Below are 21976 nucleotides of genomic sequence, written 5' to 3'. Positions count from 1 at the left end.
TGGACACCCCTGCTCTAACTGGTTTTCTAGCTAAGTTTGTCTTTTTTTTTTTTTTTTTTTTTTAATTCTCCAAATCCATACATATAACTGCCTGCTTGGTGCCTCCTCTTGGATATTTATGAGGCAACTCCAAAATCAAACTCATATTTCCCATAAACCCTATTCAAAATAACACCACTATCACTGCTATTATTAATCATCATAGCTCCAGAGATACACTGTTGCTTTTATTCCCCAATTTTGCAGCTCAGTAAGAGGTTAGAGTGAGTAGATAATTCGTTCAGTCATATAGACAGAATGGTAGAACTAGAATTTGAACGCATACAGGGTTTATCCAGAGTCCACGTTGTTAACCACCATCTCCTTACCACAGTTCATGGCTTCAGCCCTCACTGAGTTACTTAAGTCAAAACTGCAGCATCACTCTCTCTACCTCTATCTCCTTTACCCATCCCCTCCATAACCAATGTGGCTACATGCCCTGTCCATCTCCTGAATTCCTCTGGAAGCCATTTACTTCTGTCTACCACCACTACCACCACTCTACTCTAAATAATGACCAACTCCTACTTAGGCAGTAACTGCCATAGGCTTCCAGTCCCCATTTAGACCTTGTTTTAAAGTGATCATAAACAAAATGACAACATGAGCAATGAAATCATGTGGCAGTATTTTGTCAGAAGGTGGTCATCCAGATAATCTAGAATATGTGTATTTAAAGAAACTAGACTACTACTGTGAACAATTTCAGAATCCTTTCTTAATTCCTCAGTAGATCTGTGATGCCCCAGGCGCTGAGTTAACCCAGACTCATTCTTCAGACGGCAGCTCCAAAGTCATTCATCAGGGAAGAAGCATTGCCTGACCCTCAGAAAAGGTTGGATGTTAACAGCAGTTGATACGTCTTCATAATGCTCACCACATTGTAACCAGGTGATTCATGTCTCTGCCCTCCTAGATAGAAAGCTTCATAAGGGCAAGGACTGAAATGTGTGCCTTTCCCATCCTGGTCTCAATTACCTAGTAGTGTTTGGCAAATAGTGAGTTTTCAAATATTTGTAGGATAAATGGAATTTTTCTATAATTAGAATGGCCTTAATATTTTCTAACTCTGAAGATAATACATAGCATGTATTTATATAGAAAAAGTTAAGAAAGTAAAGTCATTTCTTTTCTATTTTTTCTTCATATTGTGCTTGGTGAATATTTTCACCTGCTGTGTAACAACTTTGTGTGAAGTGCTGTTAAATAACATGTATCTAATGAAAAAATCCATGGAATTTTCTCTCATTATGCACCAAATATGCATCAATTCTGGAAAAGACTCAGCACTAATTTTTCCCTTGCTCTTTTTTTTGCCATACTGAACTTTACAACATCAGCTCCTAATTGGACCTGGAGAGCTCAAGGAACATCCCCTTAAATGTTCCTTTCCAGGCTGGGCGCAGTGACTCATGCCTGTAATTTGGAAGGCCGAGGCGGATGGGTCACCTGAGGTCAGGAGTTCGAGACCAGCCTCGCCAACCTGGTGAAACCCCATCTCTACTAAAAATACAAAAATTAGGTGTGCGCCTGTAATCCCAGCTACTCGGGAGGCTGAGGCAGGAGAGGTGCAGTGAGCTGAGATGGTGCCATTGTACTACAGCCTGGGTGACAGAGCGAGACTCTGTCTCAAAAAAAAAAAAAGTTCCTTTCTTCTTCATACCACAGAAGGCAGTGGAGTCAGTTGCATCATGTCATAATTGAGGATTCCACTATTTATGCTTAGCAAAAAAATAAAATGGAATAAAATAACAGCATAAAATAACAAGAGTAAATAAAAAATAAATTTAACGCGGGAGACTCCATCTGCCACTCCTCTTAACTCACTTGAAATAGGGAACATGAATCTTCTGCACCCTTGGCTCTTCTCAGTTCTGACCTTGCTTACCTTTCTTAGTGAGATCATCTTGTTGCACACATGGTAAATTTAGGAATTTTCATGGAAATTTTTAATATACTCAATTTTTACCACATGACCAACCTTAGACTCTATTCCCGGAGTAAGATTTTGTTCTGCATTGTATCCTGTTCTTCCCTCTCCGCTTTTGCTCATGGTGTCAGCTTAGGGTGGATGTCCTTCTTCCCATTTACTATTTATTCATTCTTCAAGGCCCAGCTCAAATATCATTTTCTCAGTTAGACCATCATCACTGCCTGGCTCAGAATTCATCAAAACTTCTACTGTAGCCTGGGTGCAGTGGGTCACGCCTGTAATCCTAGCACTTTGGGAGGCCGAGGCAGGCGGATTACCCGAGCTCAGGAATTTGAGACCAGCCTGGGAAACATGGTGAAACCCCGTCTCTACTAAAATACAAAAAAAAAAAAAAAAAAAAAAAAAAAAATTAGCCGGGTGTGGCAGCATGTGCCTGTAGTCCCAGGTACTCGGGAGGCTGAGGCAGAAGAATTGCTTGAAGCCGGGAGGTGGAGGTTGCAGTTAGCCGAGATAGTGCCGCTGCACTCCAGCCTGGCAACAGAGTGAGACTCTGTCTCAAAAAAACCCCCCAAAACAAACAAACAAACAACTTCTACTGTAAAATTTTCTACTGCTGTTTACCACTTCTGGCTGTCTGCTGTGGGTTACAGCTGGCTGCCCAATGTTAGAACTGGATTGCAAGCTTCTGGAGCACGGGTACTACATTCATTTTGTATCCCTGTTGGTTAGCCCTGTGCCTAAGCTTTTTACGATTTACATTTGGTACTTTAAAAAATCATGACATTTTCTTTGACCAACAACTTATAAAAAATCTGTGATGCAAACTCCAAGTTATAATGTTCCATTTTATGCTTACTTAGAAGTCTATCCCTCAACAGACTACTTGCTTAATCTATGTAAATTCTAATCAGAGGAATGAGAGGTAACAGTATGATAGAGTTTTAAATTCTCTGAAGTTCCAAACTTCCATAGTCGTAAGCACTGTTCATCTACAACAGTGTTAAAAAAGTCATTATATAACAAGAATAATTCAGATGCATACCAGAAACATAAAGTGACTATTTTCTGTTTGGTTCCTGGTAAGTTGCCATTATTTATCATTTAATAATCACCACCATCTGTCATTTAAAATCTTCACACCATCCACCAACACTGAATTGCAGAGCCAAGCTGATTCACACCTCTTCCTGTTGGTCACATGTAACAAGCCCTGTGCTAATAGCTGTAAGCAGAAAGCAAGGCCTGGACTACCACGCCCAGCTTCATTTGTCACAGAGGGAATCCTAACTCATAATTTGAGTCTCTCACCCTGTATATAAAATAAAACTATTTCACTTAAGTGTGTAACCTTTATAACTGAAAATTTCAAATATACCCACAAATAGAAAATAGAATAACAATTGACCTATTCAATACACATTCTTCAGCAGCTTTAATAATAATCAACTCATGGTCAGTGTGTTTGCATCTATACCTCTCTCTATATATATGTACAGATATCTCATCTATACATATTTCAAACTCTTAAAAAACACTCACCATAATGCCATTATCACACCTAAAGAAAATAACAATAGTTCACATTCACCTGTTGATGCCATCGTGAACCTGCTGCAGAAATGGCTGTCACTAAATATTTCCCAATACATAGCTCAAAAGCTGTTTATAAACTGTACATATGATGTTCAACTATTACAATGGCACTTTTAGGACAAAAGAAAACTGCTCATTCCCTGAATGCTGCTTAATATTGAATTCAGTTTTTGAAAAGAAGATGCACATTATATTTCTTTATTCACATAAAAGACACAGAGCAAAATCCTTGGCATCCACACTCGCATTTCAAGCTCAACAGACACTCTTCTTTTTGGTCCCTGCCTGGAGTCATAAGCATGGGTAATTTCATGCAGGATTTCAAATGTGTATCAGAACAAAAGGTTTTAGACACTGCAGCCCTTCATTTTATAATTTCACATCACCCCTAATGAATTTCCCATGAATACTGGTATTAAAGAATTTGAAAGAGGTAGCACTTTTTAAAAAAGCAAATGTCAGATTTTCAAAAGGACGCCGCAGAATTTTTTCCTTACACATTAGAGAAAAAGGACATTTATGTGACTAAGCGTCTTTCTGCGAGCCAATATTGAATTTTCCATTGTTGGTGGCTCAGTCTCTCCTGGGAGGCACTTAATTGAATCAGTCTTGAAAGGTTTTCATTGTGTTTTTCCTGAGACCCTCTTATGTATTACAGACACAACTGTAGTGAGTACAGCTCTAATGGAAGATGCTGTCATCCTAGTCCTCAGTCTGGCCTCTATCACAATTGCTTGTGCCTCTTAAGAGGCTGGCATGCTATCAGGAAGAGGTCAAGGTAGACAGAAGCAGGAAGCAATAGCTCTTCACAGGATCGGATAAAAAGTGGTGGAGAGAAAGAGATGGTACAGCCACCAACGGATCCCCTTAGCACAAATTCTAGACAAATCCACCGAAAATAGAGTCAGATCCACACATTTATCAGACAGGGACCAGAGGCGAGAGAGCCTAAGAGAATTTCATCACCTTCTGTGAGGGCGAGGTAGCATGAGAGTAAAGGGGAAGGGCAGGCATGAGTGACATGCTGCCAGCAAGCCTGTCGTGCACTGCCTGCCATGCCAGGGCTGTCCTTACACATGCATCAGCTCCATCTGAAAACCTGGAAGGAAAATGCTAGCCATCACACGATTCTCTTTGACTAAATGTTGCAGCTGGATTATTCTTCACTTTCCCTGTTCTAATTTGAACAGTCAGACGTTTCTCAATTTAAGCCTTTTTCCCTCAAAGAATCCTCCTCTACATAGGTACCCTTATCTAAGGCCCACCTACGGCCAGGCACTGGAGGCTGAGGCAGGAGGATCCTTGAGGCCAGGAATCCGAGACCAGGCTGGAAATCATGGTGAGATCCTGTTGCTACAAAACATTTTTTTTTCTTAATTAGCTGGGCACAGTGGACACGCCTGTAGTGCCCGTGCTTGGGAGGCTGAGGCAGGAGGATCCCTTGAGCCCAGGAGTTTGAGGCTGCAGTGAGCTATGACTGTGCCACTGTACTCCAGCCTGGGCAACAGAGCAAGATTCTGTCTTTTTAAAAAAAAAGCCCACTTGGGTCTGATAAGGTCCTCATTGTGTACATGTATCAACTATCGTTTTCAAATGAAATAGACACAGTGCTATACAGTGCTTTAAACCTTGAGATACTTTCATGTGCATATTTACTTAATATACACAAAAACTCTTTACCAAGGAAGGCCTTATTACACTTACTTACAGTAATGGTAACAAAAGTATGAGAAGAGTGCTGATTTTATCAAGTTTACTAAGAGTAAATTAATACCAAATCAAAACACCACCATGCCTGGTTAATTTTTACAGTTTTTCATAGAGATGGGGTCATGGGGTCTTGCATTATTACCCAGGCTAGTCTTAAACTCCTGGCCTCAAGCAGTCCTTTCGCCTCAGTGTCCCAAAGTGCTGGGATTACAGGTGTGAGTCACCCCACTCAGCTGCCTAGAAAAATATTTCTTTCTTTCTTTTTTTTTTTTTTTTTTGAGACAGGGTCTCCTTCTGTCTCCTAGGCAGAGTGCAGTAGCACAATTACAGCTCACTGCAGCCTCAATCATCCAGGCTCAAGTGATCCTCCTGCCTTAGCCTCCCAAGTAGCAGGGACTACAGGTATGTGACATCACGCCTGGCTGATTTTTTTTTTTAAATTTTTAGTAGAGATGGGGCCTCACTATGTTGCCCAGGCTGGTCTTGAACTCCTGAGCTCAAGCAATCATCCTGCCTCTTCAGTCTCCTAAAGTGCTGGGATTGTAGGCATGAGCCACTGCACCTGGCCAAAATACTTCTTAAGTGCTGTTGGTGACAAAAGCTCACCAGCACTTCATACTCTGTACTCGGAAACTGTTTCATGTCCAAGGATCACACTCATAGAGCCCTGAAACGGTCTGATTATATTTCCACAATCTAAACAGAAGAAACAGAATTAGGGTGTCAATCACACCCTCTTACCCCAGAAAAAAACTGTTCTTGTATAAATTTTTAGGAAGCAGAAATGACTAAGATGGGTACAATTTATAGGCCTAAATCTACCATTAACCTTAATTGATCAGTTGCTTATTAACTTTTTTTTTTTTTGCAGGGGTGTGGAAGTAGTCTGTTAAAAGTATTATATGGCATGAAGTTGTATCAGCACTGATAGCTGCAAATGAGCCTGGCACGGAGTTAAAAAGTCCTACACTGACTGAATAATCAAAGTGCCAATACTGTTCAATTGAGGAGGGGTGAGACATAAGATTAGTCTTGCAAACCTAAAGAACACATACTCAGTGAAGAACTGGTCCACTTGAGAATAATGTATGTGTTTAAATGCTTTGAATCTGTGCTTGGATGATACTTTATGTTTAACTCCTGTGGCCTAATATTTATTTCTTAAAGATTGTTCTACCTTATGCTTAAGGAGCTGAAACTCTATAGTGTCATTTGTCAGGATAGTGATTATGTGCAAGTGGGAGAGTTTTTTTAAGTCAACAATAAATGTCTTGCACTGTGAAAATAGCAGCTTGACTCCCACATTCATTTAGTAGCAGAAGGCATGAAATGAATTGGCCTTTTTGAATTATTTCCAAAATGTGCTCCAGATGCATATAGATAGAGCACTAAATATAAACCTAGTTGCTTTTGTTTTTGTCCCATTGCTAAGCAACTTTTAAACCAAAGTGATATAGAATGAGTTCATCATCACTGTTCTTCAAATTTAAGTCTGTAAGAAAACAAAGCCATGTATGTTCCCAATATACAGTCTGATTAACCGTTGACTACTGATAGATGGCCAAATACAGCCATGCTGATGTGTGCGTGTGCATGTGTGTGTGTGCGTGTCTGTCTGTCTTTTGTTCCTGATGGATTCGTTCATCAGGTTCAGTGTTAGCTTCCTATTTATAGTGGCATAAATGGTTCAGTGTTAGTGTCCTATTTATAGTGGCATAAATTATACCAAGGACATGTGCCGCTCAGATCTCCCTGCAAGACATTTTGTCACTCAGCTGTGATGGGCACAGTTAGCTGAAAGCCTCCAGCAGCAGTGCCCTCAGAATCTGCCCCAGGGTGTGAGCCAAGGCATGTCTTTCCTGGGCATCTCCCAGCCAATAACTGATGGTCAGCTTATTTTTTTTTCCTTCTATACACTGCAGGCTTTTTAAACAAGTAGTCTACGTCCACTATCTCTTTTTGCTCACCGCCCACACCTCCTATACCAGAATCCCTTGCATGGATAATTCTATACATTTTTTTTGAACTAGAAGGTCACCAACCCCCTCATGATTGCCAAAGCATAACATCATAAAACTTTTAGAGCTTTTAGCTCTAAAACTTTTAGCAAGTGAGATTTATTCCAATTCTCCCATTTTATGGATGAAGAAGAGAACATGTACAATTTCACAGCGACTGGTAATTTCATTTGCCTTGATCTGCCCTGCAGTATTTGATACTGCTGACCCCTCCATTTTGAAGCAAAGTATTGGCAATCTGATTTTTCCCCCTAATGGGTTCAAGAGAAGGCCTGAGAAACTTTCCTGACGATAAGCCACGTTACGCATGGGAAGTGATCACTATCACATGTGTCCATTGCAATCCAGATTCTTGGGCAAGACCCTTGTCAACCTTTACCTGCTCCTCTACCATCATCATGTTTCCAGAATTGTCAGAGGCTTTTGTTATGACTGGAAAAACTCCCTAGAAACCTATTCAGTCTTCCTCCTGTGCTGGAGTTGAGCTGCTTATCTCTTAACTTTATATACTCGTCTACTGTAAGATACGCATTTGGTTAAATGACGGCTCTAGTAACTGACATACCTTACTGTCAAATTTTTCTCCCTTTTCTCCAATAAAAGTGCATTACTTTGTACTGCCAAGAAGTTTTCAGATGTAGAAGCAATAAGGAGCAGCAAGTTGTCATTGCATACTGGGAACAGTGTTAACATGAAGGAAAATTAACTCTCTTTCCTCTTCACTAAGGGGAAAACAATCTCCATCTGTTCTCAGGTGATGTGGAAATCCACTTAGCTGTTTTTCAAGGTTCTCAAGATACTGGTCCAGAGAAGCGTATCCTGATTCTAGTTCTAAATGATAACATGAGAGTTTTAAGGCCTATTTGTTGTACCAAGACTCTACAAGCACAAAAAGTGCCAGCAAAATACAGTTTCAATGAAACTGTTGGGTTTTCACGTAAATGCAATGAAGCTGTTTTGTCTGAAATCTCAAAACCATTAAGGCCCTTATTTATGTGATAAACATGTTCCATTTTATTCCTTTTATTGTTTTGCAGCAGGAAGCAAGTGACAATATCTCCACATTTAATTACGAAAAGAAGCCCCATGAACTCATGGAAGCCACTGGTGTGATACTTATCTGATGTAGATCATATTAAGCACAACTCGGCATCACTGTATCTTTTTTTTTACATACGTAAATATAGCTATTTGATATATATATATTTATCTATCTCTTTGCATTGTAAACACACAACCAAGCATCACTTTATTTGACTTCTTTCTGGAAAAAAAGCAGGCCAGAAGATAAAAATAAACAATGACCCTACTTGTGTATGTAGTTATTTTCAGAATAAAGCAATCTTTCATCATCTTCCCCAAACCTTTGAAGGATGGATAGAGAGCAAGTTTTAAAAAAAGGGAGAGAGAAAGAGTCAGAAAAGCCACAAGTCAGTTATGTCTGGTATGGGTTGCCCAAAGGCCAGTCCCCTACATACTATGCCTGAAAGAGAGTTCAACCCAGACAACAGCTGTAAGGGACAGCATGTGGGGTGAGAAAATAATAGAATGGAGGAGAATTAGGTAGAGTATGTGTGCTCAGGAGAAGAGAGAAGTTAAATAAGTATTACTTTGGCATTCAGAATATTTTTCCTTGATTTGGGGAGAAAACAGTAAAAAGGGTTATACTATATTAGATTGAATTAAGTAAACAAGCTACCAGTCTGGGGAGGGCCATTTATGAAGGTGAATTCGAAATTAAGATGCAGAATAAATCACACAGATGAACTGCAAGAGGCACCAGCACCAGGTGCAAGGGACTGAGCACATAAAGGGAGAATGAGATGTGGTCCTAGCCCTGCTGGAACTCACTCTTGAGTGGAGAAACGTGACAAGGAAAGGAATGATTACCAAACAATTCCATTATAACAGTGCTTCAGGAAAATGCCATGTGACTGCTACTGAGAGTAGGGAATTTAACATCTACTTAAATTTTTTAATGGGATGGGGGAGACACAATTTGAAATAAATGCAATCATATGGCTAGGAAAGAAGAAGGGGGTCAAGTGCCATGAATAATTCATTACTTAGAGAGACATTCAAGCTCTGTTTCTTCCCTACCTCTTCACAGCAGCTTTAACCTATTTTGTGAAGCAACTGACTTATTTCTCCGATATATTGTAGACTTAATGTATAAGAAAGGGTTCTGATCATTTTTCATGACATGCTGACTTGGCAAATTGTGCTCCTAACATAATGCAGTGTTCTAGGAAAGGGAAGTAATTTAAGGAACTTGTACACAAAGAAAAATTCCTTCAGTGCTTCACGTATCTTCTGAATTCACTGAAGAGACAAGGAGTTTGTTATGAATTTGAGGTTGGGCACCTAATTGACAACACAGTAAACCTGATGAGAAATCCCCAAGGGTGGCTGGGGATGACTCACCAGGTCCCTCATGCAGAATTTAAAATCGTTATGCCAGAACTCTTCCTTGGATGACTGCATGGAAGGGGCAAGATAATTCCCCACCCCCTGCTACTTCTCCTTTGTCCCTCCCTTCCCATGGTCAAATGATACTTGAACATCACCTTGAAGTATTCATTGCTGTATGATGATGTTTTCCCTTCAGTAGCATACAAAAGATAAAATACCCTTATATTTCCATGAGATAAAAACTAGAAAATTTGGTATACTAAAATCTTGATTAATGGAAATACTCTGGTTAACTCAGTGATAACTAGAAATTTTTCCTTATTTTGTTTTGTTCATTTATTATTAGTCAAAAGGTATAATAAAAAGCCACTGAAAAATATTTTACTATTATTTGATGGTTCACAGTCTTGTGCTGCTTCAGATTAACATCAGTTATGACTGCAGAGCACGACAGAATTAGCAGGTAGGAGGCTCGTTTGGAACAGAAGTGACTCAGGGCACTCTCTGGATGTTATTTTGGGAAACAATCCCAAATATTTCCCTATTTAATTAGCATACACCACTAGGTAGCAGAATTACAGCTAACAGACAATTCCATTTCATTAGATGCATTTTGCTATATTTATATATCAATTACAAAGACCATCTAAAAATATTAAGTGATTAAAACAGTACTTCTGTATCTCTCAGAATTTAAAAGCATTTGGAATTGTTTCAGTCTGGTCATTCTTATATGGAATGTATGCAGAATCATTTCTTTGAACATGTTTCCAATGGCCTTTTTGAACAATTTTAATAAATATTTTAATGAGTCCTAGATTCTACATTTCTTCATAACTTCGGAATAACTCACAGATCACAACACAATGTATTAGTCACCAAACAAATCAAATTAAATATTTATTTTGCAATGTCTCTTTAATGCATGGCTGCAGACTGTAGAATATAAAGTAGTCTTAAGACACAACTGTTTGTGAAAATTATAAGTGGGTTTATATGCCGTCCTTTCAAAAAAGTACTTAAGATAGTTACATTGGGTAGCTGCAACTTGCCCTGAGAGACATGGAGCTTGTTACGAATTTGAGGTTGGGCACCTAATTGACAACACAGTAAGCCTGATGAGAAATCCACAGGGTGGCTGGGGATGACTCACCAGGTCCCTCATACAGAATTTAAAATCTTTATGCCAGAACTCTTCCTTGGACGACTGCATGGAAGGGGCAAGATAATTCCCCACCCCCTGCTATTTCTCATTTGTCCTTCCCTTCCCATGCTGCCCTCTCTCTTTGCTTCACTCAGGAGCCAACATACAACACGCAATCATCAAAGCCTCAGACCAGGCTGCTGGTCACAGCTAGCCAGAGTCTGCATTTTAGTAGACCTACTTGTTTTGTGATTTTCTTTAAATACATTTGATGCTTGTATTTCCAATTCACTGACAATCCACTTTATAAACTAAGCATTTCTGTTTTATGACCAGCTGTGGATAAAGGCAGGACTTATTAAACTTACTAAAGGCAGTACTGTTTCCATCTGATCTGTTTCTATCTGATCAAAACAATTCAGTGGCTGGGATGCTCCTGCTTTTGAAAGCTACTAAGTCACTCTTGTCTGTCTTCTTCGACTGGGCCGATTCCGTATCTTAAGGAAAGACGCACATGGGCTGCAAAGTCTCAGTCGTCATTGTGCCAAACTGCAGGGGAAACGCTAAAATTTCATTCTCCATTTAACAAATATTTATTGATGGTTTTTTAGTGCTAGCTGTTCCTGGGCACATAACCTAATCAATATCTACATCCCCAACACCCACACTGTGCCTGATGCACAGCAGGCTCACAGTAACGTGTGATAAGCAGATCGATAAAGAAGAAATGATTCTTTATCTATGAGGAATTTGTGAAGTGTTTGCTCTCTTGCCTGGGAAACAAGACACAAAGATATCAAAAGTTAAATGATAATATATGATAAGACATAGCCCCACAAGGAACAGAAGGATTCTAGGGATGCCAATGATCCTGTGGTTCCGTCTCCTTGGCAACACTGCCATCAGAGGCATGGAAGAGGTTCTGCCAACTAAAGGACACAGCCAGCGTGGCCTGCTCTGATAGCACCACAGAGCCCTGCACTCTGGGATTCTGCAGGGAAGGTTTCTGGGATGGTTCTGGTACTGGTCCACACAGGGAAGAAGGCAAAGGACAGGCACATGGCAGTCCAAGGCTGAGCTTAGGACAGTTGGGAGGAAGCTCAGCATGGATGGGAGTGGAAAGTTGGCAGGAGAGACCCAAGACCAAAGTCAGGGAGGTGATGGGAAGTGAGGATGGAGAGCACTAGCCTGGTATATAACTGTGCTGTATAACAGCCTAAGCAAATAGAAACATAGTTGACGACGGTTCTTCATCTGCTCTAGGACTTTCCATAAAACATCAGTTCTCTCAAGTAAGTGAGATGCCTGGTCAAATACACAATTTTCAAATCTCGGTCCTAGCATGAGACTTTATTACGACACTCAGATATTTTTAAAACAGATGAAATGGTCATACTGAATTTTCTCCCTAGATGGTAAACACATCTTGTAATACCTTGAGCAAACAATCTTTTTATTTTTTCTCTTCCTCCAGCAAAGCCTTCTCTGCAGGGACTGGGAAGGAACACTTAAGACATTAATTCTGTGTAGAGAGCGTTACTAGGACAATGCACCTTTTTTTTTTTTTTTTTTTTTGAGACAGAGTCTCGCTCTGTCGGCCAGGCTGGAGTGCAGTGGCACAATCTTGGCTCACTGCAACCTCCGCATCCCGGGTTCTGGCAATTTTATCCTGCCTCAGCCTCCCGAGTAGCTGGGATTACAGAGGCGTGTGCCACCATGCCCGGCTATTTTTTGTATTTTTAGTAGAGATGGGGTTTCACCATGTTGGCCAGGCCAGTCTCAAACTCCTGACCTCAGGTAGTCTGCCCTCCTCGGCCTCCCAAAGTGCTGGGATTACAGACATGAGCCACTGCGACTGGCCGGCGACAATGCATTTTTTTGTTGATTCAAGTCACAAAAGGAAAAAGCCTACTTAATCGAGAGCATATTCTGTTCTCCCTTCTCAATATTAAGAGTAATTGCCTGAGGTCAGGAGTTCGAGACCAGCCTGGTCAGCCTGGTGAAACCCCATCTCTACTAAAAATACAAAAATTAGCTGGGCGTGGTGGGTGCTTTTAATCCCAGCTACTTGAGAGGCTGAGTCAGGAGAATCACTTGAACCCAGGAGGCAGAGGTTGCAGTGAGCCGAGATCGCGCCATTGCACTCCAGCTTGGGTGACAGAGCAAGACTCCATCTCAAAAAAAAAAAAAAAAAAAAGAGTAGTTGCATTTTTTTTTTCCCCTAACGTGGACAACAGTTTTAAAGACTATTCCAAGTCTGAATGTATTCAGTACTTCACTCCACCCACACTGCCTTATTATTACTCACGAGACTAATGTTTAATGGCTTAGCCAGAGAGTTGGCAAGTCTCTTCTGCAAGAGACCAGAGAGCAAATACTTTAGGCTTTCTGGGCCATAACCCTGTCACAACTACTCAGCCATGCCACTGTAGCATAAAGCAGCCAAAGACAATATTAATAGATGGGCAAGGCTGTGTTCCAATAAAACTTTACTGATACAAACAGACAGTGGGCTGCTTTGTCCTACAGGCCATACTTTGTGGACCTCTGGTCTAGCCCTTCAATCCTGAAATTACATTAAAATTTGTATGTTCATCTGAAAGAGACATCTCAACACACATTATTTCCATCTAACCTCTTTCACATCCTGTGAAGGTATTAAACAATGCTGATAGATGTAAGACTTACTAAAAACACACCAAAATACCTTATGCCCAAAAGATAGCAGGTTTCATCCTTCAAATCTTTCTAATATATTTAACATAGACCAGCACCAAGGCAAATTTCAGAGCAAATTTGTCAAGGGATTGCATGAAAAGTCAGGTTTCTCAAATGTGTGAAGTCTGAGACTAATCTGTTCCTTATCAACAATTCAGAAAAGCATATAAGCCATGCCACTTTGGTAAAATACATTTTGAAAAATAAATCAGATAAAAAGCTAATCTTCTCCTACATGTCTAGATGAATTTCAAATCTTATCATGGAAAATGGTAAAAGGATGACTGAGTCTCCTCTGTAACTTTTTTTTTTTTTTTTTGAGATGGAGTCTCGCTCTGTCTCCAGGCAGGAGTGCAGTGGCGCGATCTCGGCTCACTGCAACCTTCGCCTCCCAGGTTCTAGTGATTCTCCTGCCTCAGCCTCCTGAGTAGCTGGGACTACAGGCGCATGCCACCACACCCGGCTAATTTATGTATTTTTAGTAGAGATGGGGTTTCACCATGTTGGTCAGGCTGGTCTCAAACTCTTGACCTCGTGATCTGCCCACCTCAGGCCTCCCAAAGTGCTGGGATTACAGGCATGAGTCACCATGCCCAGTCAACTTGTTTTTTTTTAATTGTAGAAATCTTCAGAGAGAACAAATCCACAGATAATTCCCCTACTTTTCAGTGAACAGAGCAACAGAAAGCAACATTCTGAGAAGGCAGATGCTTCTGTCTGAACAGTAGCTGACCAGTAAAGGTACGTATTTGACTCTAACCCTCCTGTAGCCAAGGCCTTGGCACTTCATGGGACATGACTGGAGATGTGGAAAATCATTAACTGGCCATGGGAAGAGGTTCTGGCAACAGTGGTATGCCCATTCACTTGGGATTTGTGAGAATATGGCAAACTGGTACAGTTTCAATATTACATGCTTACTGAGTACTGAGAACAGAAGCCACTAAAATGAGACAGTTTAAGCCTCATAATTGGATAGACCATTTTAGAATTTTATTTCAGATGTATCTATGGTTATGATTCCTTAATATAGACTAGTAGGAGGTTATAAAATATAATAAGAACTTCTGACCACTTGGCTATAATGGGAATTTATATCTTTAACAATAACAGCACATTTTGAAAAATGCCTAATATTTATAAAGAATTTTATAGTTTGTAAAATACTATTACACTTGATCCTTAACATTTTTGGTAAGGTAGGTAGAGTATTTACCATTATTTTACCGATGAGGACATAGGTGCAGAGAAATCACACATCTGGTCTTCAGACACTGTGGGAGGAGAAATGTGACTCAAAACAAGCAGCCTTTCTAGCCACTGTACCATGCCACTTCTCTTTCAGCATCTTTGTGAATTTTCTCCTTTCTTTACCAGATTCTAATGTATCACTGATAGATGATAACGTTTGCAATATGTTATCTTGACTGGGGCAGAACGACAGAGGCAATCATTTTTAAATGACCATTTTTTATTGAACTACCACCAAAAATGTATCTCATCAAATGCTTTATGGCCTTAAATAAGAGAATATTGTATTGTAGAAAGGACAAATGGAACATAGTAAGCACCTGTTGAATTGAACTGATATTAGGAGACCAGAGTCCAGAGAGCCCGGTGAATCACTGACTAATTGAATCTCCTTTCTCTGTGTATTAACGGAGAAATTGCACCTATCTTTCTTTGCAAAGATTTAAGGAAATCAAGTAAGAAAATGGACATGAGACCATTTATAATTAAAGAGTACCTAATTCACTTAACAAATACTGAGTAGCCACTGTAAGGCACTGTTGATGGATGTTACAATGAGTTTGAGTACAATCTATGCCATATTAAAACCACAGCTTTTACGGGAAATTGTTAGGAACGTAGAGATTACACATAAGTGGACTATAAGAGAGAGAGATGCAGATCAATGAAAATTGTAACAGCTTACAATGATGGGTAGATTTACTCTCAAAAAGGATCAGATCACTGACTGTGTGACTACAAAGTCAAGGCTACAATGCATAGATTTTTGAGTTGAGGAGAGCTAACTAGACATGACTTTCCAAAAATTTAAATACAAGAGAAAATATTTAAACTTTTAACACTTTGAGTGATGGCAAGTAGGTGGGGCACCAGTGATTGCGTTTGATAATAGTAGTGCAACATGTATCCAATATATACCATTGAAGCTTTTGAATACTGACTACAAACCCAAATCTTTAAAAGTATATGATAAATAAAGACTTGGTTAAAATTTGATCTTGACTACATACAGCACCATCTGGGAAAAATAAGTATGTATTTGAAAAAGATATTGATATGAAAGTCTGTTGTTAATTGTATCAACAGTGAAACTATCTGATTCTACAGATGTCATTTAATAAAGGAACAATCAAATTATTTAAGGATGTGTTAGTGAGAGGTGACAGCGTGCTGGCAGTCCTCACAGCCCTCGCTCGCTCTCGGCGCCTCCTGTGCCTGGGCTCCCACTTTGGCGGCACTTGAGGAGCCCTTCAGCCCACCACTGCACTGTGGGAGCCCCTTTCTGGGCTGGCCAAGGCCGGAGCCCACTCCCTCAGCTTGCAGGGAGGTATGGAGGGAGAGGCATGAGTGGGAACCAGGGCTGCGTGCAGCGCTTGCAGGCCAGCTGGAGTTCCGGGTGGGCGTGGGCTTGGCGGGCCCTGCACTTGAAGCAGCCGGCCGGCCCTGCCGGCCCTGGGCAATGAGGGGCTTAGCACCCGGGCCAGCGGCTGCGGAGGGTGTACTGGGTCTCCCAGCAGTGCCAGCCCACTGGCGCTGCGCTCGATTTCTCGCTGGGCCTTAGCTGCCTTCCCATGGGGCAGGGCTTGGGACCTGCAGCCCGCCATGCCTGAACCTCCCACCCCCTCCGTGGGCTCCTGTGGGGACGGAGCCTCCACGACGAGTGCCACCCCCTGCTCCACGGCGCCCAGTCCCATCGACCACCCAAGGGCTGAGGAGTGCAGGCACACGGCGCTGGACTGGCAGGCAGCTCCACCTGCAGCCCCGGTGGGGGATCCACTGTGTGAAGCCAGCTGGGCTCCTGAGTCTGGTGGGGCCTTGGAGAACCTTTATGTCTAGCTCAGGGATTGTAAATACACCAATCGGCACTCTGTCTCAAACTCAAGGTTTGTAAACACACCAATCTGCACCCTGTGTCTAGCTCAGGGTTTGTGAATGCACCAATCGACACTCTGTATCTAGCTACTCTGGTGGGGCCTTGGAGAACCTTTATGTCTAGCTCAGGGATTGTAAATACACCAATCGGCACTCTGTATCTAGCTAATCTGGTGGGGATGTGGAGAACCTTTGTGTCTAGCTCAGAGATTGTAAAAGCACCAATCAGCGCCCTCTCAAAACAGACCACTCGGCTCTACCAATCAGCACGATGTGGGTGGGGCCAGATAAGAGAATAAAAGCAGGCTGCCCGAGCCAGCAGTGGCCACCCACTCAGGTTGCCTTCCACACTGTGGAAGCTTTGTTCTTTCGCTCTTTGCAATAAATCTTGCTACTGCTCACTCTTTGGGTCCACACTGCTTTTATGAGCTGTAACACTCACCGTAAAGGTCTGCAGCTTCACTCCTGAGCCAGCGAGACCACGAGCCCACCGGGAGGAATGAACAACTCCAGACGCACCGTCTTAAGAGCTGTAACACTCACTGCGAAGGTCTGCAGCTTCACTCCTGAGCCAGCGAGACCACGAACCCACCAGAAGGAAGAAACTCCGAACACATCCAAACATCAGAAGGGACAGACTCCAGATGCACCACCTCAAGAGCTGTAACACTCACCGCAAGGGTCCGCGGCTTCATTCTTGAAGTCAGTGAGACCAAGAACCCACCAATTCTGGACACATTAGGAAGGAATTCCTACCAGATAAATCCTGAGAGACCCACTAAATATTTGATTATTTGATAAAACTGGTAAAGCAGTAAGACTCTTGATATAGTAAACCTATTCATATGTTTGCTCAAGTTTTAGCAAAAAGATATGTAATTACGGAAGAAGAATGTTGTTACAGAGAACAGGAAATACAGACACATTATCTTGGCTTCTAGGATGGTCATATTATGAAGTTACAATTTCAGAGTTTCATATGTTAGTAAAATGTGAGAAGATGATGCTTCTACAAAGATTACCATCACGTGTACCTGGAGGAAACTCATAACAGTATTAACAAGATTATTCCACAGTCATTATATGACATAATCATACAAGTACTGATTCAAAATAACAAGGTATTATTAAGACAACTGGTAGAGAAAACTACATTTTGAAGAACTGATGCAATGTTCCAGATGATTTGATACAATAAAATTCAGAATCAGAAAAGACAAGCATGAAAGCCAGAGAAAAATGTGACTGAAGGAATTTACAGTGTTTATCTTGATGAAGATAATAGGAAAGGGGGGAGTAAGAATTTTTGGATTTTTTTGTTTTTTGAATACTGGCTGGGCTGAGGTACAGAACAGGAATTAGACACTGTATATCGTTCCAGGGTCAGAACTAGGAGAAAAAGGCAGAAAGTATTGGGAGGTAAACTATGACAGCCTGGGGCAGAACTCTCTAATAATGGCCACTGTGTGCAACTGGAAGGGACTGTCTTTAGAGGTGTAGGGTTTCCTTCTACTGGAATTATTCATGTGGTAGCTGAATTATTTGACAACAAAAGTCTCTTCCCCCATCATATTCTACTTATCTCTCAATCCTGGAAAGACTGTGAACAAGAAAAAGCAAAGCAAGGGATTCTGTGGTGAGGCTGTGGGCAGTGTAGTGATGGGCAAGAGGAGGAGTTGCCACTTTCTTTATCCTCCCCTCCAAAATAGGGTCATTAAACAGGTCAGCAGGGCCAACAGCAGCACAGAGTGGATATAAAAATTGCACTTTCTGGGGTAAGCCATGTCCTAGGAACAGCAAGGCCAGGCATTGGCTGGAACCATCTACACAGGGATGCCACAGAGGACAGTGATATCATCAGGAAGGAACAGTGGAGAGATCAGTTTTGGTGACCTGTGTGTGGGAGGGTTGCATCCCAGATGTCCTCTGGACAGAAATAATCAACACTCCCTTGGATAGCATCCCAGCTTGGAGAGGAGAAAGGGCTGTGCAAACGTGTCTGACCTCCTGGCTTATTAGACAGGATGAAGAGTTCCCAGGCAGGACGAATGAGTCAACTTAGGAAGCAGGCCACAGATAAAATATAGTGTGATTCCAAGAGGTGGAAATGAATGAAAGCCAGTAAAGGGCATTAAATGAGGAATGTGACAAACACAAGTTTGCTTCGTTAGAGTTACGTGCTGAAGATGATCATAATAAAAGCAATAGCCAATCGAGAAATGGTGTGGGGATGACTGAATATCCACACACACAAGAATGAACTTGGATACCTACCTTCTACCATACACAAAAATCACCCCAAAACACAGCATAGGCCTAAATGGAAGAGTTAAAACTAGAAAACTCCTAGGAAAAAAAAATAGGAGTAAATCTTCATGACCTTGGATTTGACAATGGTTTCTTACGACATCAAAAACACAAGTGACAAAAGAAAAAATAGACAAACTTTATCAAATCTAAACGCTTTTATGCTTCAAAGGACATCATCAAGGAAGTGAAAGACAACCCTCAGTAAGGGAGAAAACATTTGCAAATTATATATCGGATAAGTCCTTTATATATAATATACATTATTATGTTCATCATTCAGATATATAATCGTGCATAAACTTTTACAACAATAAAAAGACAAATAACCAAATTACAAATGGGTAAAGAATTTGAAATGCAAATCAAAACTACAATAAGATACCATTTAATACTCACTAAAATGAATACAATATGAAAAATCGTAAGTGTTGGCAAGGAAGTAGAGAAAGTAGAACTCTCATACATTGCTGGTCAGATGTAAAATAGTGCTGCAACTCTGTAAAAGAGTGTGGTGGGCTGGGTGCATTGGCTCATACCTGTAATACCAGCACTTTGGGAAGCCTAGGCTGGAGGATTGCTTGAGGCCAGGAGTTCAAGACTAGCCTAAGCAATGCAGTGAGACCCCGTCTCTACAAATAAATAAATAAATCAGCTGGGTATTGTGGCACATACCTGTAGTCCTAGCTACTCAAGAAACTGAGGCAGGAGAATCACTTGAGCCCAGGAGTTCAAGGCTGCAATGAGCTATGATGGCATCACTGTAGCCCAGCCTGGCCAACAGAGCAAGACCCCGTTGGTTTTTTTTTTTTTTTTAAACACTACCAAATGTTCTTTTTCTTTAGTTTTTGTTTTTTGGTTTTTTTTAAACAAAAAAAAAAACAAAAACAAAAACTAAAGAAAAAGAACATTTGGTAGTTCCTCAAAAAGTTAGAGTTACAATGTAATCCAGCAATTCCATTCCTAAGCATATGCCTATGAAAACTGAAAATGTGTGTTCACACAACAGCTTGTATACAAACATTAATAGCAGCATTATTCATAATAGCCAAACAATGGAAACAATCCTGAAGTCTGTCACCTCATGAATGGATAAATAAAATGTGGTATATCCATACAATAAAATATTATTCACCAATAAGAAAGAATGAAGTACTGATACAAGCTACAACATGGATAAATCTTGAAAACATCAGGAAGCTGAAAGAACTGTTACAAAAGATCGCATATTGCATGAAACCATTTATATAAAATGACCACAAAATGTAAGTTCACAGAGACAGCAAGCAGGTTAGTGGTTGCCAGGGGATGGTACGAGGGAAGAATGAGGAGTGACTGGCAGCGCAATAGGTTTGTCTACAGCAGCATCAACACAAATACATCAGTAATGAATGCATTGCGCTATGATGTTCTCATAGGAACTTTTTAGGTCCATTATAATCTTGTAGGATCACTGCCATATATGTGGTCCATCACTGGCCACGAAGCATAGCTATATGGTACATGACTGTATTTCTGGAAGCTACAATTTGCTTATGGTGAGGTTAAATCTTTCTATAATTTTGTCATTTATATTTTTTGAACCGTACCTATTCAGAGCCACTCCAAATACTTCTATTGAGTTACTGTTCTTTTTTTCTTACTCATTTCCTAAGAGGTCTCTCTTTTCACGTTAAATAAATAATCTCACTTAACAAGCCAATACTTACATAGCAATTACTATGAACCTGACATGTTTCTTAGCTCTATAGAGACATAAAATCACTTAGTGTTTACAACAATGCTGTGAGTGGGCATCATCATCATTCCTATTTAAGAGATGAGGAAACTTCAGCACAAAGGTGTTAAGCAGTGGAGGCAGGATTTGAACCCATGCACACTGGTCCAAACGTCCCAGCTAACCAGTATACTATCCTGACTCGTACGGACGCAGCAAACAGCAGACTTAAGAATGTCAATCAAGATACTCAGACCCCAGAAAATGTGTCGAATCTGGTTACTGTGATAGTTGTTCTTTTCTGGAAATGCACTGTCCAATAAGCTAGGCACGTGTGGCTACTGAGCACTTGAAATGTAGTTAAACTAAATCTAGATGTGTGGTAATGTGAAATATACATTGAATTTCAAAGATTTAATATAAATTAAAAGACTGTAAATACTCAAAACATTTTAATATTAATGTGTTGATACGTTAAAATAGTATTTTGGGCCAGGCACGGTGGCTCATGCCTGTAATCCCAGCACTTTGGGAGGCCGAGGCGGGTGGATCACTTGAGGTCAGGAGTTTGAGACCAGCTTGGCCAACATGGTGAAACCTCGTCTCTACTAAAAAAAAAAAAAAATTAGACCGGTCCTGGTGGTGCGTGCTGTAGTCTCAGCTACTTGAGGCCGAAGAATCACTTGAACCTGGGAGGCAGAGACTGCAGTGATCCAAGATCACACCACTGCACTCCAGCCTGGGCGACAGGGAAAGACTCTGTCTTAAAAAAAAAAAAATACTATTTTGAATATACTGAGTTAAATATGTTATTTAAATGGATATCACCTTTCATCTTTTAAAAAAAAAAGAACCTTTAGTATGGCTACTAGAAAATATTGTATTACTATAAAGCCTGCATTATATTTCTTTTGGACAGGGTTGTTCTAGAAGGATGTATTGTGACTGGAAGAGAAGTCTGGAGGAGCAGTGCATGGTTCTTAAAAGGCTAATCATGGTGTATGCTGTCTTTGAGGACCATGGATTGCTGATATAACAGAGAATAAGCCAAGTGTTACTAAACCCATCAATTACCAATATTCTGATGACTCATGATGAATTCAAATATAGTCAAGAGGAACCTGGAAGGTATTGTTGGTGAATCCAAAGAAATGGGTTGAAAACAAAAGGAATATAAGGCAGGGGAAATAATTTTGTTTCTTCTACCTAAAGCACAGTCTTTGAAGGGGAAATAGGTCTATGAAATGCTTCTTAAAACT

The 21976-nt window shown here is 40.7% G+C and overlaps 1 protein-coding gene across 4 annotated transcripts in view, besides 1 other annotated feature; it reads right to left on the bottom strand.

Annotated features, from left to right (window-relative positions):
- Nucleotides 1-21976, bottom strand: part of CERS6 (ceramide synthase 6) — a 318863-nt gene that overhangs the window by 33698 nt on the left and 263189 nt on the right. The gene's annotated exons all lie outside the window — the stretch shown is intronic.
- Nucleotides 4861-5361: an enhancer, noted in NCBI's record as "H3K27ac hESC enhancer chr2:169592586-169593086 (GRCh37/hg19 assembly coordinates)". NCBI's record gives its function as "activates a minimal SCP1, AML or CMV promoter by ChIP-STARR-seq in primed H9 embryonic stem cells {active_cell/tissue: H9 hESC(primed)}" and the evidence as "EXISTENCE:reporter gene assay evidence [ECO:0000049][PMID:30033119]".

Source organism: Homo sapiens, chromosome 2 (assembly GCF_000001405.40).
Source record: "Homo sapiens chromosome 2, GRCh38.p14 Primary Assembly".
NCBI classification, from domain to species: domain Eukaryota; kingdom Metazoa; phylum Chordata; class Mammalia; order Primates; family Hominidae; genus Homo; species Homo sapiens.
This window is presented reverse-complemented; position numbering and strand designations above follow the sequence as displayed.